This window comes from Homo sapiens, chromosome 15 (genome assembly GCF_000001405.40).
Source record: "Homo sapiens chromosome 15, GRCh38.p14 Primary Assembly".
Taxonomy (NCBI): domain Eukaryota; kingdom Metazoa; phylum Chordata; class Mammalia; order Primates; family Hominidae; genus Homo; species Homo sapiens.
The window spans coordinates 33969756-33985808 of record NC_000015.10 but is presented as its reverse complement, the minus strand read 5'-3'; the positions used below and the strand labels follow the sequence as shown (position 1 = coordinate 33985808).

Here is a 16053-nt window from a genome sequence, read left to right as displayed (position 1 = left end):
GCTTAAAAAGATTAAGTGACTGCGTACATGGCCACAGAATTGGGAACAGTAGTCTTTGGCTTCAAACTCAAGATTTCTAGCTTATAGGTACTTACTTACCAAACACTAAGGAATCAGGTGTATCATGCATCATGTCAGGTGCTGAGGGTACAGAAATGCCTACAACACAGTGCCTGCCTTTCAGAATATTGTTGGGAGAGCTGAATTGCAGTGGCCCAGACTGCTCCTGATGGGTATGTCAAGAATGCAAGGCTCTGACTGCTCTTTGTCTGAATTTCTCATAGTTGTGTTTCCAGCAAGCAACCCTGAGGGATGAGGTAATATCTCCCCCAGGGTTGCTTCTACTTACTCAAGGAACTTACTCTTACTGAAAAAGGAACACTGAGCTGAGGGCATGCACTCAGCTCAGTGTTCCTTTCTGGTAACAAAGGAACACTCAGCTCAGTGTTCCTTCCCTGTAATAAAGCCCACAGCATGTACAGGACTCTTTGAATTACCACTCTGAGACGGGGGCAATGAGGAACCAACAAAAATTAACATGAAGTTTGACTACTCCTTTTGCCAGAGACACCTTTTGTCTCTGGCCCAGGTGTCTCATGTCTTCTGCTAGCACCCATGAAACAGTAACAGGCTAACCTGTTAGCTTACAGATAAGGTGGAATCTCAGACCCTGCATAGTTATTGGCAAATATCTCTTGTGAGGTGATATAGATGTGAGGAAACCAACAAATACAGTTCAGTGTGACAGGTACAGAGTGCTGTGGGATACAGAATGCTGTGGGATAACCCAGGAAAGGTTCAGCTGGTCAAGGTCAAGGAGGCTTTTCTGATTCCACTGCTCTTGAGGTGAAAATATTGGTTGGTTCATCTCTTGAGGGTAGATCTTTTCATTGTTAGTGTATGACACAGGACATGGCACATGGTTCATGATGACAGAGCTTGCTGAATGAGTGAATGAACTGTTATTTGTGGTTATTGGGTGTGATTTACTGCATCAAAGGTCCCTATGTTTGCTACTAACGTTTGTCTCATTTTTAAAGACCGAAGTCCTGGGAAGATGTTTGTTCTTCAATGAAAAGCAACTCATATAGAAACCTACTATGAATAGGCTGGGTGCAGTGCCTCACACCTGTAATCCGAGCACTTTGGGAGGCCAAGACGGGTGGATCACCTGAGGTCAGGAGTTTGAGACCAGCTTGACCAACATGGAGAAACCCTGTCTCTACTGAAAATACAAAATTAGCCGGGTGTGATGGAGCATGCCTGTAATCTGAGCTACGCGGGAGGCTGAGGCAGGAGAATTGCTTGAACCAGGGAGGTGGAGGTTGCAGTGAGCCGAGATCATGCCATTGCACTCCAGCCTGAGCAACAAGAGTGAAACTCTGTCTCAAAAAAAAAAAACCCTACCATCAATCTATTCTAACAGGTGAGGAAAGTGACTGAGTTTGCAGAATATCTTGTATGTAGATTAACTTAATAAAATGACATTAAGGTCCAATTACTTATTTTGTAAACTTTTTATTTTCTAATACTTTTTAGATTTTTCAGAAGAGTTACAAAGATAATACAGTGAATTTCCGTGTACTTTCTACCCAGCTTCCCTTAATATTATTATTTTATATAACCATGGTATCTTTATCAAAACTAAGAAATTAACATTGGTATACCACAGACTTTATTTGCATTTCTCCAATTTTTTCCACTGATGTCCTTTTTCTCTTCTAACTCAGGATACCACATTACATTTATTCTTTGTATTTCCTTAGTCTCTTCTTATTTGTGACAGTTTCTCAGTCTTTTCTGAAATTGACACTTTTGAAGAGTAGACCATATTGTAGAATGTCCCTTAATTTGGGTTTTTCTGATTTTTTTTTTTTTCATGATGAGGCTGAGATTATGGATTCTGGGGGAGAATACCCTAAGATGATGTACCTTTCTTGTTGGATCATGTCAGTGGACACAAAATATTTATAGGACTTACTGCTGATGATGTTAACTCTGATCACTTAGTTACTCTTAGTTACCACTTAGAAACCTCCGTCAGGTTTCTCCCTGTAAACTCCCTGTTTTTCCCTTTCCATTTATTGTTCACTAGCAGCGAGTCACTAAGTCCTGCTCACACTCAAGACGATGCGAGTAAGCTTCATCCATGGAAGGAGGAATTTCTGGGCATGTGTTAAAAACAATGACAGTAAATAATGTTTTGAGGCTATGCAAAGATACTGTTTTTCCTTAAAAGTTCAGGGGAACTAGTTCTCTCTGAAGCCAAGAATTGCCTTGGACAAGAGGTCAAGTTATAATGACTAAATACTTGCCCTTTTTATTTATGCTTTACTGCAGATCTATCTGTATTATAAATGGTGCTATTCTTGTGTCATTGACCCTTCTGTCAATTTCTTTGAAGAATGGAAGCGTTTATGTTAACTGAATGGGGTTAATGAGGGTACGTTTGTAAAACAAGGTGAAACATCAATAATTGATTTTAATTTCTTCCTCATTAATCAGTTACAAAAAGCTTATTTTATCTTTTGTCATTTGTTGGTTACCAAGAAGCCATATATATGTGTGTGTGTGTATGTGTGTGTATATATATGTATATATATATATACACACACATACACACACGTGTGTATATATACACACACACATACACACACACACACACACACACACACACACAGAGTATGGACATATATGTATATGGTTAGCTATATCCCAAGTGATTTATATATCCACGTCTAAAATCCGTTGCTCAGAAAAACCTGCCTTAATGTTGTGCTTCTTGTGCAAGAGACAGTCATGGTCCATGCAGTTAAGAGGTGCAGTCTTTCAAAAATTATCCCAACAGGAGTTGATGGGTAGGAAGGAGGCATGTCCCAGTGATCCAACAGTCATCCCAGGACATGCTAACCATTTGACTGATCTCCCTCAGAAGTTGGGATAATTCTAAGGTAGCCTTTGTTGCTTTAGGGGTGTTGTCCAGATGGGCTGGTCCAGAGAGAGAGAGAGAATGTGGTTGATGTGTTTTTCGATTCATAAGGGGAAAACATCATGGGGAAAGCATCATGGTATTTGGATGTACAACATAACTACATTCTTTACTGCTGTTCTTGGAAATGCCATAACCTAAACAAATTCTTGTTTCCATTACTAAATTCAAAAATTTTGAGTCAGTGCAGTGGTAGATATGGGTAAACATTTATAGCATTTAAAAAAAATTGTAAAATCTTAAAAAAGGATCAAGATTTGGCAGTGCTGAGTTAATAGCAGTCAATCAAATTGAATTTGACCATTGGGACTGAGATTTGGCCTCTTAACCATATGTTATTGCTTTGCTCCAGAAAATATTTTAGTAGTATTATCAGAAATACTTCCATTTATTTTTTTCCTTTTTTAATTTTTATTTTTGGCAGAGCATAGCATTTGGTAATTCTTGGGGTCATTACTAGGGTTTGGATTGGGATGGGAGAGGGTGTGATCTTATAGGAATTTGAAATTGAGAAGGCAGCACTGCTGAAAAATGCATTAGGGCCAACCTCTGAATTAGATTGGCTTAATTTGTTGGGGGCAGAGCTGCAGATGCAGCTCTACATCTGCAGAGATGTAGGTGTTAACAAATGTGTTAAAATAACTCTTATTTAGTGCTGGGTGTGGTGGTTCATGCCTGTAATCCCAGCACTTTGGGAGGCTGAGGCGGGTGGATCATCTGAGGTCAGGAGTTCAAGACCAGCCTGGCCAGTGTGGTGAAATCTTGTCTCTACTAATAAAAAAAAAAAGAAAAAATACAAAAATTAGCAGGGCATGGTGGCATGTACCTGTAGTCCCAGCTACTAGGGAGGCTGAGGCAGGAGGATTGCTTGAACTTGGGAGGTGGAGGTTGCAGTGAGCTGAGGTTGGAGTGAGCCAAGATCGCGCCACTGCACTCCAGCCTGGGCAACAGAGTGAGACTCCGTTTCAAAAACAAAAAAACAAAACTTGTTTATAGAGTACCTGGCTAGATATTTGGTATTTTGTATACATTTTGTTTAAATTCAAAATAGCCCTTCAGTGTTAGTATTAGACAATTTTATAGATGAGATAAATTAAGCTCAAAGAAGTTAGGTAACAAGGATCACATAACTAGTGTGTAATGGAACTGCAGTGTGAATTCCTTTCAATCTGATTCCAAAACCCATGACTATTCTTTATATTGCACTCTCGCCCCCTGTGGTATGCATACAGTTGGCTATGCAGCAGTAGGCCCTTTTGGTGTATTGTATAGAAAATGAGCCATTTCATTGTTTGGGAAACTTGTGTTTCCTCCCCTTCCCCCCATTTTTAGTATCTGTTAAAAGAAGAAAGCTTTTGGCTACTTAAAAAAACTTGGTTATGTTTAGTTTGGTGCCTTTTGATCTGGTCATGACAATGGGAGCAATACTCTTATGCTTGCTACTTGTTTCATTTAAACTGAAAAGTCCGGAAAAAATATATTAGTACGCAGGAGTGCTAACTTGCAAATGAGTTTTTCTTGACTGCTAATAACTCAAGCAAAAAGATAATTATGTGTTATAAACTGTGCATGCGGAAAGTGAAATGAAATTCATCCGCTTCATATTTTTTAGGAAAATTGATAAGGCATCGCTGTTAATATTTTTCACATTACCTTTTGGATTTCTTAATTCAGATATTTTCTCTCCACAATTTTGAGAGAAAATTAAGAGGGGTTGCTGTCCAAAACTGGGGAGTCTTGGAATCAAGTTGTGATTGTATGTTTATATAAAAACTCAGTGTGACCTCAGCAAGTCACAGCATTTTTTCAATTTGATGATCTCTATTTTAAAGTGAGAAAGTTTTTACTTGCAGAGTGTTTCTGAATCCTATGTTAATCTTTTTTAAGTTCTGATTGGAGGCTCTAGTGATACGATTTTTAGGGCAGGCTACATTTAGCTGTATTTTTTCCATTATATTTTGAAGTCAGAATGGTATTGCAAGTTAGTAATTTTCATACTCTTGTTGATAATGTTTTGCATATGGTACACATGGGATTTGGGAACTAGTTAAGGTCCTTGCCTACACTCTGCTTAGAGCAAGAAGTAATTTGGGGTTCTCCGTGTACAGATAATGATAAATGGGCCAAGTTGTGGGGCAGGTTTCACTTTAGACCTTGCCTCTCTTTTCTGTGTGTCACTCCCTTTTCTTTCTTATGTGCATGACTACCTACTGTAGTGCCCAAGGCTTTAATATACTCATTGATGCCTTTTGCCTGATCTCCCAGGATACCCATACATGTATATTTAATATTCGTAGTTTGTGCTCATGTCATATATGGCCATCAGCCCACAACAAGAGAAATCAGAGGACGTGTTGCCTGGGAGGCAGCACGTTTGGAGAGTTCATGTGTGGGACGGTACTATAACAGCCTTGCGTAAGTAATGCAACAGGTAAGGTGGAATCACGTTAGAGCAGGCTGTTGCACTGAGGTCTTGTCAAGTTAAGACATTACCAGTGCGATGATTCTTGAAAGGTGTGCTGCTGACAAAAAGATGTTATTAAATCTAGTCTGTGTGGGAGTGTGCATGTCTGTCAGCTATACAGTATAATTCCTAAATAAGAACTTGCTGCTCCTGACATACTTACATACTTTAATGTGTCTTCAGCTCTACATGTTTAGGTTCCTTGTACCTATTTCTTCTGTGCCTAGTTGCTCTGAGTCATACTAGTTTACTATGAGATAATGTTAAACAATATCATGGATTCAACCAGGATGTCTTAAATCTTCTCCCTTGTTATTCTCATTCTTTTTTTTCCTTTACAATCATAGTGAAAAAGTGAGCTGATTATTTTTTAAAACCCAGAAACCAGAGATTTAACAAATTCATAGCTAGAACAAGTTAGTGTTCACCTGAATGGTTTTCTCTAATACCAATCTTGAATCTCTTGGATTGCTCATGCTATTCTAATTAACCAGCAGTTGATAAAAGAAAAATATATAAGCATATATGCATTGCATTTTTCTTGACCACTGGAGCTCCTTAGTGTTTCTCTACATGTGTCCTTTACGATTCCTGAGGATGCCTAACGAACTTCTCTTAGTTTAGTAAAGCTGACATGTTATGAACCATTGGTGTCTTTTTTCTCACTCTTCAGGAACATTATAGAATGTTCATTCTGAAAACAGATAACATTTGGTCCAAATCTTTCATTTTTTAAAGGAGGAAACCGAGGCTCATAAAGGTTGAGGTTTAACTTAAGGCCATACAAGTATTTGTGGGAGATGAATTGCTCAGATAAGAGTGTTTTCTGTAGGTTCATAAATAGTGCAGTTTTATTTGCTTGCTTGTTTTTGAGACAGGGTCTTGCTTTGTTGCCCAGGCTGGAGTGCAGCCTCAACCTCCTGGGCTCATGTGATCCTTCCACCTCAGCCTCCTGAGTAGCTGGGATTACAGCCACACCCTAGCATGCCCGGCTAATTTTTGTATATGGTTTTGCCATATTGCCCAGGCTGATCTCAAACTCTTGGGCTCAAGCAATCCTTCCTCCTTGGCCTCCCAAAGTGCTGGGATTGCAGGCATGGGACACCGTGCCTGGCCAACCGTGCAGTCTTTAAATAATAGCCTAGATACCCATTTAAATTCCAATTTTTATTTTGAAGAGGGGTTTACGAGGTGACTCTTCTGTGGTTGTGTCCTTTGGAGTAAGCTATAATCAAATTGATATGCAGAGAGGAAGTAAACGGTTCTTTATTAGAGTAGACTTAAAATGTGGAATATTCTCAAGTATGTCAACCTTTCTAAACAGGATGAAAAAGAAACCTGGAGCATTATATGAGCCAGTAGGTCCCATTTATTGTCTGTTTTTTTATTTATCTTGTTCTGCTACCCCTACTCCTTACTTTTGCCTGGCATGGACATACATCTCTTTCCTCTGTCCATTTTTCACATGTTTGTTCTTGTTAGACTTGGGACTTCAGGGTGAAAGTGAACATTATTCTCTGGTTTCTTCTAAGTTTGTGGTTTATTAATATATCCTTCTAATATTTCTTGGGTGTAGGAACCAGGGGAAAGGGAAAAAGTAAGGCCGAATTCTGTTTTTCTCAAATGCCTGGGGACGAATTTGTACACCTTAATTTTATTTATTTTTATTTTTATTTATTTATTTATTTATTTTGAAACAGAGTCTCACTCTGTCACCCAGGCTGGCATGCAGTGGCGTAATCTTGGCTAATTGCAACCTCTGCCTCCCAGGTTCAAGCCATTCTCCTGTCTTAGCCTCCCAAGTAGCTGGCATTATAGGTGCCTGCCACCATGCCGGCTAATTTTTGTATTTTTAGTAGAGACAGGGTTTCACCATGTTGATCAGGCTGGTTTTGAACTCCTGACCTCAGGTGATCCTCCCACCTCGGGCTCCTAAAGTGCTGGGATTACAGGCGTGAGCCATCGTGCCCGGCCTGTACGCTTTAATTTTCATTTGATGTTTTATTTCCAATTATTAAATGTACTCCCCCACTCTGTTTTTCTCACTCAAGAGACTTCCTGTGTCTACAGTGGGTTTGCTGTAGTCTAGTACCACACATGTTCAGAGGATGCTCAGGAAATATTAGTAATACGTGTCACTTTGTTCAGAACGGCCAGTCTGCATTGGTTCTGCCTAGAGAGAAATTTCCTCTTTCTTCATGTACTTGGATCGCTAAGGTTTTCTGGTTGAATTTCTATGTTTTTAAAATAGTTTTATATAGACATAGTGACTTTTGAAATGGTCCTCCCTCCCTCCCTACCTCTCTCGCTTCCTCCTCCATCCTTCCATCCCTCCCTCCCTCCCTCCCTTCCTCTCTTCCTTTTCTTCCTTTCTTTTTCCTTTTCTCTTTCTCTTTCTTTTCTTTTCTTTTTTCTCTGTTTTGACAGGGCTCGTTCTGTCACCCAGGCTGGAGTGCAGTGGCGTGTTCACAGCTTGCTGCGGCTTTGACCTCCTGGGCTCAAGCAATCCTCCTGCCTTGGCCTCCAAAGTGTTAGAATTACACGGGTGAACTACCACACCTGGCCTGAAATAGTCCTTTCTAATTCAAACCTGGCTGTTTTGCCAGGGAGGACTTACTTGCTCTGAGACCATATTATTGGAAACTTAGAGTGTAATAGAGAACGTTTGATTCTTCACTTGTAGAAATAGTCAGAATTTCAAGGTTCAAAATTTCACAGACATAGACATAGGGCTGTAATGAGAAGGAAAATATGTATGTACCATCCTTTCTTCCAAAGTGTCCTTGGAGGAGAGCAAGCATAAGAATGGTGCTCAGTGAGGCCACGAGGCTGGGATACAACACCCTGAATCAAAGCACGCTGTCATAGCCTCCTAACAAAAGAGAATGTCAAGGTTTGAAACCGGAATTCATTATAATATGCAGTATTTTATGTACTTGTAAATAAAAGTAAGGGAGTATAGGAGGAGATGATAAGGGGAGGATTTGTTTTGAATCTGTCTCATCTTCTGCTTTGTTGAAGTGCTAATCAGATGATCTTTCTATCCTACCAATATATGAGAAAAAGTGTCTTAGAGTAAGAGTATTGGAGCTTGTTCTTGTTATCCTAAAGGCAAGCTTCCCTGTCTCATGTAAGAACTCCAGCTTTTTGTGTTCCCTTTAAATGTATATTTTGTGTTTTTTGTTCATTTTGTTGCTAAAAAAGGTAGTGCGGATTTTGTTAGTGAGGAGACAGCCTTTCAACCTTCCTATCTCCTTGGTACCAATTTAAGCCAAAAATTATTTTTTTCTATACAAGATATTAACCTTGCCATAACTAATTCATGCCATTGTGACCATGAGTTTAGCTATCTCTTTTCTATATAAGGAATCACTGCTGGGAATTGGTTTCCTTCCCAAGGGACCCTGTAATTTTGATTATTTTACTTCCATCCAGGATGTCACTATACCACAGGAGGCTGGCTGACTCAGGGATGGGAAGAAAAGGCATAGAAAAATAAAGTAGCTTATGTTTCTATGCCTAGGATGTTTGTTTCAAAAGTTCAGCTGGGGATCTGAGACAGGAAAGGTACAATAAATTTATGTTAAAAATTTCAGCTGGTCATCTGAGACAGGAGAGGTACAATACATTTATGTTAAATTTTTTTTTTGTTTCTGTCTTGCTGTTTACATTTATTTAAAATATTTTAAATGGAGATATACCATTATGCCTGCAGAAGGTCCTATTCCTGATACTTAAAAAGCCTAAATAAAGATATATAAATTTTAACCAGTTCCTAATACACTTACAGAATAAAAGTGTGTTGTCTACTGGAGTTTTTCTTCCCAGATCCATTTATGGAGAGGCCATAAAAAATCTGATGCGGGCATGGCAGAAATTTATATTAAAGCTGTGTAATAAGTCCATGGGTATTGGTTGTTGGTTTAAAATAACTCTACTTAAAATTGAATCTCAAGAATATATTTGAAAATATTTTAAAGTATTTTAGAGAAAAAAGCGACATTACTCACTTAGGAGATTGACTTCAAAGCAGGAATCATTTGAGATTTTGGATGAATAGTTATGAGAATTCCTTAGTGAACAGGACAGTGCTGGAGATGATCACTGAATGCAAATGAATACATTGTAATATAAATAGTATGTCATAATAATTGAAACATGGCTTTTTTAGATGGAAGATCATATTTCCTCTTTTAAAAGTTGATTTTATCCAATATATCCTGCTGGTTGTAATATTTAGTTATATATGGAGGTTCAAGCTTAAATACTTGAGCCCCATCTCACTTGCAAAAGCAAGTAAATTGCAGAGTTCACAAACCTGGAAACAACTCAGGACAACTCCAGTGTTTGGTATAATGTTGTTAGGTGAAATAATACTAGAATATTATGCAAGGGACCTGGTATTTCTTTCTTTTCTTTTCTTCTTTTGAGACATAGTCACTCTGTCACCCAGGCTGGAGTGCAGTGGCACAATCTAGGCTCACTGTAACCTCCGCTGCCCGGGTTCAAGGGATTCTTCTGCCTCAGCCTCCCGAGTAGCTGGGACTACAGGCATGTGCCACCACGCCCGGCTAATTTTTGTATTCTCAGTAGAGATGGGATTTCACCATGTTGGTCAGGCTGGTCTTGAACTCCTGACCTCATGATTCACCTGCCTCGGCCTCCCAAAGTGCTGGGATTACAGGCGTGAGCCACCGTGCCCAGCTGGGACCTGGTATTTCTAACAAATTCTGTTGTTTTCTCACACTGAATTCTGAGTTCTATTATGACAAATTCTCACTTTTTGTTTCTATGCTTTCTTGATTGCAAATAATTTTTTGAGATTTTGTTAATTTTAGTTACTTCTGGAATATTCCAACCCAAATTATAGATGTTTAGTCCTTTTTAAAATCAACTTATAATTTATTTGAATCCTAGGTCTTAGTTGCTTGATCAATGTTTAGGCAGCAGAATAATTGAGTAGCATTCCGCATAGCTAAGTAGCACTGTTTCGCAACCTGTGCCCTCTTGCTCTAGAAAATACTATTGCTTGACATATACCAGGAGTTTTAGGTTAGAGTATTTGGCAGTGTCTATATGGAATCAAAAACTTGCATTAAAATGGAGAAGAATATCTTTGTGAATCCTCTAGATGGCAGAACAATTACAACAAACATATCTTAGAAGGTGTCCAAGAAGCGTGTGGAGGAGAGAGTGTAGAAGAGATGGGGTGAGAAGGGGACCTGCGGGCTCTAAGCTTTCTGTCTCAACCCAACCAGGGCAGATCTGCTCTTATATGTCTTATATCTTGATATTTTATCTAAGATGGTGTTTGAAAGAAGGAACATGGCTAAAAACATGATAGGATGTCAAAACTCAAAATCTGTTGTTCTTTTTTTCCTTCAGGATAGAGTTTCGCCCTTGTTGCTCAGGCTGGAGCGTAATGGTGCAATCTTGGCTCACTGCAAGCTCCACCTCCTGGGTTCAAGCGATTCTCCGGCCCCAGCCTCCAAGTAGCGGGGATTACAGGCATGCACCACCACACCCGGCTAATTTTTGTATTTTTATTAGAAACGGGGTTTCAACATGTTGGCCAGGCTGGTCTCAAACCCCTGACCTCAGGTGATCCACCTGCCTCGGCCTCCCAAAGTGCTGGGATTACAGGCGTGAGCCACTGTGCCCGGCCCAAAGCTCAAAATCTTAAGTTGTGCACGCCAACATCAAATCACAGATTTCTGTGAGGACGTACACATGCATTATTCATGTACCCTGAGCATCTTCAGACTATAGCTGCCCCCACCCCAACACACATGTTGATGAATTCTAGAGTGATGCTGGCCTACTTCAACACTCTGCTACTTTAATTTCTATCATAGGGGTTGAGGCACAGCATAGTCTTTTAGCCTTTGTCCCTGCTTTTAAAGAAATCACCATTGTTGGTATATTGTATGTTGGCATAAGGAGAAGAGATGACTTGGGGAGATATAACATAGGTAACTTGCAAAGATTCATTCCTCACAGAGAGTGAAAGAGGGAGAGGGGGCAGGTAGAGCATCCAACAGAATAAATGTAAGATTTTAAGTGTGTCACTTTCTCCACTCATCTTTGAATAGAAAGATGACTGTAGTATCTCTTCAATTTCATTTGCAAAGTACTTATTCAAATTCCCCTGAAGTCACTTTTTAATAGCAAGACCAATTTAGATCCTTTTGGATTATCGATGAAATTCTAGATCTAGTAGTATAGCAAACGTGATTTCCATATGTCAAATAGAGCAAAAGCATAAGGGATAAATTTGCTATCCTGTATTTGCATACCTCATAATATCATATACTATCCCTAACAGATATTATCTCCTTATAGCTATTATTTCAGTATAAACTACTTTAAAAGACTCCTTCATTAGACTTTTCTGCAGTTACCTACTTGCCTATTATCAGTGAAATGCAGCTGAGGTATATTTTAGGATCACTATTCTTCTGGCTGTCTGAGATTGTACCTGAGAATGCATTAAGATACATTTTCACATTCATTTAACACATCTGCTGATTAACTAGTCCTGAGCTTACCTTGGGAATAGACAGATAAATTAGATGTGGTCTTTACTCTTAAGGCCCTCAACCATGAAAAATGCAATTTCGTATGTCAGACAACTATATAAATAGATTTTCTTATTTTTTTAACTTTTAGATTTTTTTATAGAGATGGAGTCTTGCTGTGTTGCCTAGGTGGGTCTCGAACTCCTGGCCTCAAGCGATCCTCCAGCTTTGGCCTCCCAGAGTGCTGGGATTACAGGTTGCGCTTGGCCATAAATAGGTTTTCAATGGAATCTAACAAGGTGTTATGAAAGAAGTATCCTCAAAGTGTTGGGGAAGTTCCTAGGCATGAGAAGCTCTTCTGTAGGTATTACCAGAAGTTACCCAGAAGTTACTGCATGTAGAGGACTGTCTTTGCAACACAAATGAAGGGAAGGTATACAGTTGATGAAATATTAAGAGTTGTACTATGTTATATACTGAGCCTGATAGATTTACACCAACAGCTTTCTAGGTTACTGTACCAAAAAATTCTATAAATAGCTAAGGATTTTTAGTTGATAACTGAACTGGAAATCATCTCTGGCTTTTGCTTCTTAAAGAACACATTATTCAGTGCTACATTTCTATAGTGATAATCAGGAAATAAGAAGGCCCACGTAGTCTGATGATGACAACAGTGTGACGTCAAACAATGTCTATAAAAGTGGTAATGTTTTCTGATTGGTCCAGATTCTTGAGTTATTTCACTAATAATTTCAATACAAAAAATGGAGAATGTCAGATCTTTAAACAACTGCTGAATAACCCATTGGTTGTAATGAACCAGTACATAGGACTGAATAAATGCTTTAAGAATTCTCTACACACCACTGGATCAAGCAATCTGTGTAACTGTAGATAATGAGACTTCAGCTTGACTTGTAATTATGCGTGGAGTAGTTAACTGTATTTTTTACACATCATCTTTGTATAGGCTCTGAGTCTAGGAGGGTCAGTCACAAATGACTGATACTCTGAATCAGGGTATTGCCACTAATCAAAGGACAGACTGCACATGTGTTCAGTGTGGAAGGATTAGTTGGTCTGCTTTGTCTTTTGGCTACTGTTGCAAACAAAGATTACAAAAAGAGGTCTGTATATGCCTATGTGTTTGTAAAAGGAGCTTTCATTTTTGTTTCCTTAATTGAACCCTAACTCCTGATTTATTTTTATTTATTTTTTACAAATATTTGTTGAAGACTTTCAGAGAACACAGAAGTTTTGCTAATTCAAGACAGTCCTTTGTTTTTTTGTTTTTGTTTTTGTTTTTGTTTTCTGTTGTTGTTTTTGTTTTTTAACAAATCCATGCTGTTTTAGAAAGGTGTTAACCAGCCCCCTCCCTGCCCTCATACTAGTCCATGTGTCAGATACTAATTAATCTATGTCATGGGATCACTTTATAATCTATATTTAGGGATCTCTTTCTCATTCAGAGACACCGTCTTTCTCATTTTGGGTGTTTTGGTAATTTTTCAATTTTCTGAGTAGCATCAGTATTTCTGCTTGAACCAAGGTGAAATTTTGCATCTATTTCTCAGTTCTCTAGGGGCCTCTTTCATGACTGTCTGCTTGCTTACTGGTATTTTCCTTACTCCCGTTTTATCATGGTCTGTGAATTTAACCAACATGATGTTTACTCCCGCTTTTGAATTATTAATGAGAAAACTGTGAGATGGTACTTTTATCTTTAATAGTTGATGCTGAAAAAGTGACAAATGCAATAAAAGCATCTTTCTCTAATTCAGTTCCTGTCATGCATCTCTTTAGTGTCTTGGTGATATGACTTGAAATAATAGTGCTTACATCTCTCTTTTAGCTAGTTCACACTGAAAGCATATAATCATCTGTTTGATATCAGAGCCACTTCCCAGTCACAGATTGTGATGTCACAAACCAAAGATTGTTCTCTCTCAGCAGGAAGAAGCTGGAGAGGAGATGATCTTCATGGTGAACTACATCCTTATTCAAATTTGGTCACTTCATAAGGAAAATTAACCATAATAAGGAACAAATATATTGGCTAGTTGAAATGCCCAGTTGAATTAAGCTTGAAACACGGTGCCATTATAATGGAATGAAAAAAATTCCTTATGAAAACTTAAAGTTATAATAATGAAGATATAAGTAAATATATATTTAATGCATTTAAAAATATTATGCAATGTCCCTTTAAGTTGAATGCTAACACAGAAAAATGAATTTTAGGTATGTTTCTAATTTTATATACAAAATTATGTTGCTTGGTATTTCAGACAAAAATTACTTTTTAAGATTGTTATGTCAACATACACGAAATGGATGTGTTCATTTTGACCTAGATGCCATTTTTATTTTATCATAGTTTAAATAAAAAGCTTATAGCTTTTGGATAATTTAAAATGACCAGAATTTAAGGATATAGCAATAGGTATTATTATAAGGATATGGCAGCCAAAATATTTGCTCCATTTCTATGAAAGGAACTAATGATACACAATCACATTACTTTTACAATATAATACTTTTATATAATATGTGTGAATGAAATACATTCTAAATTGCAGAAACAAGTAGGCAGGTCATTGACTACATCCCAAGACTGTTCAGAATCTCTTTAATTGTTAAATCTATCAATAACAGGGAAAAGTTGTTATAAATAAACCAAATCTTCAGGTACTAGCATAAAATCCCTCATCCATTTGTACCCATGAGATGTAAACTTGAAGCAGTTTTCAATTTTTTTTTCACCCTACATGAAGAAAATACAGATTATTCCAAATTGCTGTAGGGTATTTTTTTGAAAGCTGTTACCAAAACTTCAGTAATCACTTTTCTGAATGGGTTATTATAGAGCAAAGCCTTGATTTGGAAAGGAAAGAAAGTGAAAATTCACTGGGATTGATGCTGACAAGGACCAAATTGGGGTGGAGCAAGGTAGTATTCATTTGCCCAGCCATTGTCATTAGAAGGTGAGTTATAGAAACAAAGCCCCCAAATTAGTGGGATATGAGTCTCTGTTTACATTACAATGAGTAAATAAAATCCAGAACACTTAAGGAATATTGTTATCTGCCCCCTTTAATTCCATTTATTGGAAGCAAATTGAGCATAGTAGAAATTTCATACTTTTGTCCAAGTTAATTAAAAAATCTTTAATTATAATTTAAAATATTGATTAATATTCTTCATTTAAAATATCTACATATTTTTGAATCATGTCTGTTTACAAACTGTAATACCATAATAAGGAGGGAACAGATGAAAAGAACCCTTAAGGGTTCAGCTGTTTCTCAGTGTAGGTAAACAACAACAATACCACCCTTAACTTTTAGTTATGTCTGGTATGCATAAGAAGTATTTTGAGATTTCTAAATAAACATTTTTTTCTCTGAAACAAATTGTTGTATTAGATAATCACTACTTGTATTAAATTGCTGCTTTCCTTTGGTACTGGAAAATGACAGGTAAGTTTCTGTAATGACTTCAGATGTAAAAGACTTATGATATTTAAGGTTATTTATAGACTGTCTTGAAAAGCCTGAAGGGATCATATAATTTACTCCCTTAACTAAAATTTGAAAAAAGGAAAGAATTCAGTGAAATGGAAGAGAATTTCTAATTTGACTACTTTTAGACAAGTATTGAATACTTACTTCTGATAACTTTATGTATATTACCACAAGATCTCCGTAGTTAGGTGTGATATGCTCTTGTTTCCCTGTCTCCTCTCTTCTAAGATAATATAAATATTATTTGTTGTAGGACTTCTTTATGATAAGGTGCTTTGGACCTAAGTTTTCCAATGAAACTCATGAAAACCAATGTGGTTGGGATTTCTGCTAAATGATAACGTTTTGTTGTTTTTACATAAGATTGTCACTCTAGAAGTCTCATTATGCAGTGATTTCTAGGGAATTTCTTAAAGGCACTGTATCTTTTAAAATCCTTTGATGGCTTCACTAGTGCTTTGCATTTTACAGTTTGGACCACTGACCTGAGTCAAAGCTTTTGAGGTTTTAAGGTACCAGACATCTTTCATCTTTTTATCCTCTTGTTGAATCAGA

The 16053-nt window shown here is 37.7% G+C and overlaps 2 protein-coding genes across 13 annotated transcripts in view, besides 1 other annotated feature; one reads left to right on the top strand and one right to left on the bottom strand.

Annotated features, from left to right (window-relative positions):
• Positions 1-16053, top strand: part of AVEN (apoptosis and caspase activation inhibitor) — a 223545-nt gene that overhangs the window by 89517 nt on the left and 117975 nt on the right. The window lies entirely within an intron of this gene.
• The window catches only part of CHRM5 (cholinergic receptor muscarinic 5), a 98962-nt gene that overhangs the window by 81650 nt on the left and 1259 nt on the right, over positions 1-16053 (bottom strand). The window lies entirely within an intron of this gene.
• Positions 70-593: an enhancer, noted in NCBI's record as "H3K27ac hESC enhancer chr15:34277417-34277940 (GRCh37/hg19 assembly coordinates)". NCBI's record gives its function as "activates a minimal SCP1, AML or CMV promoter by ChIP-STARR-seq in primed H9 embryonic stem cells {active_cell/tissue: H9 hESC(primed)}" and the evidence as "EXISTENCE:reporter gene assay evidence [ECO:0000049][PMID:30033119]".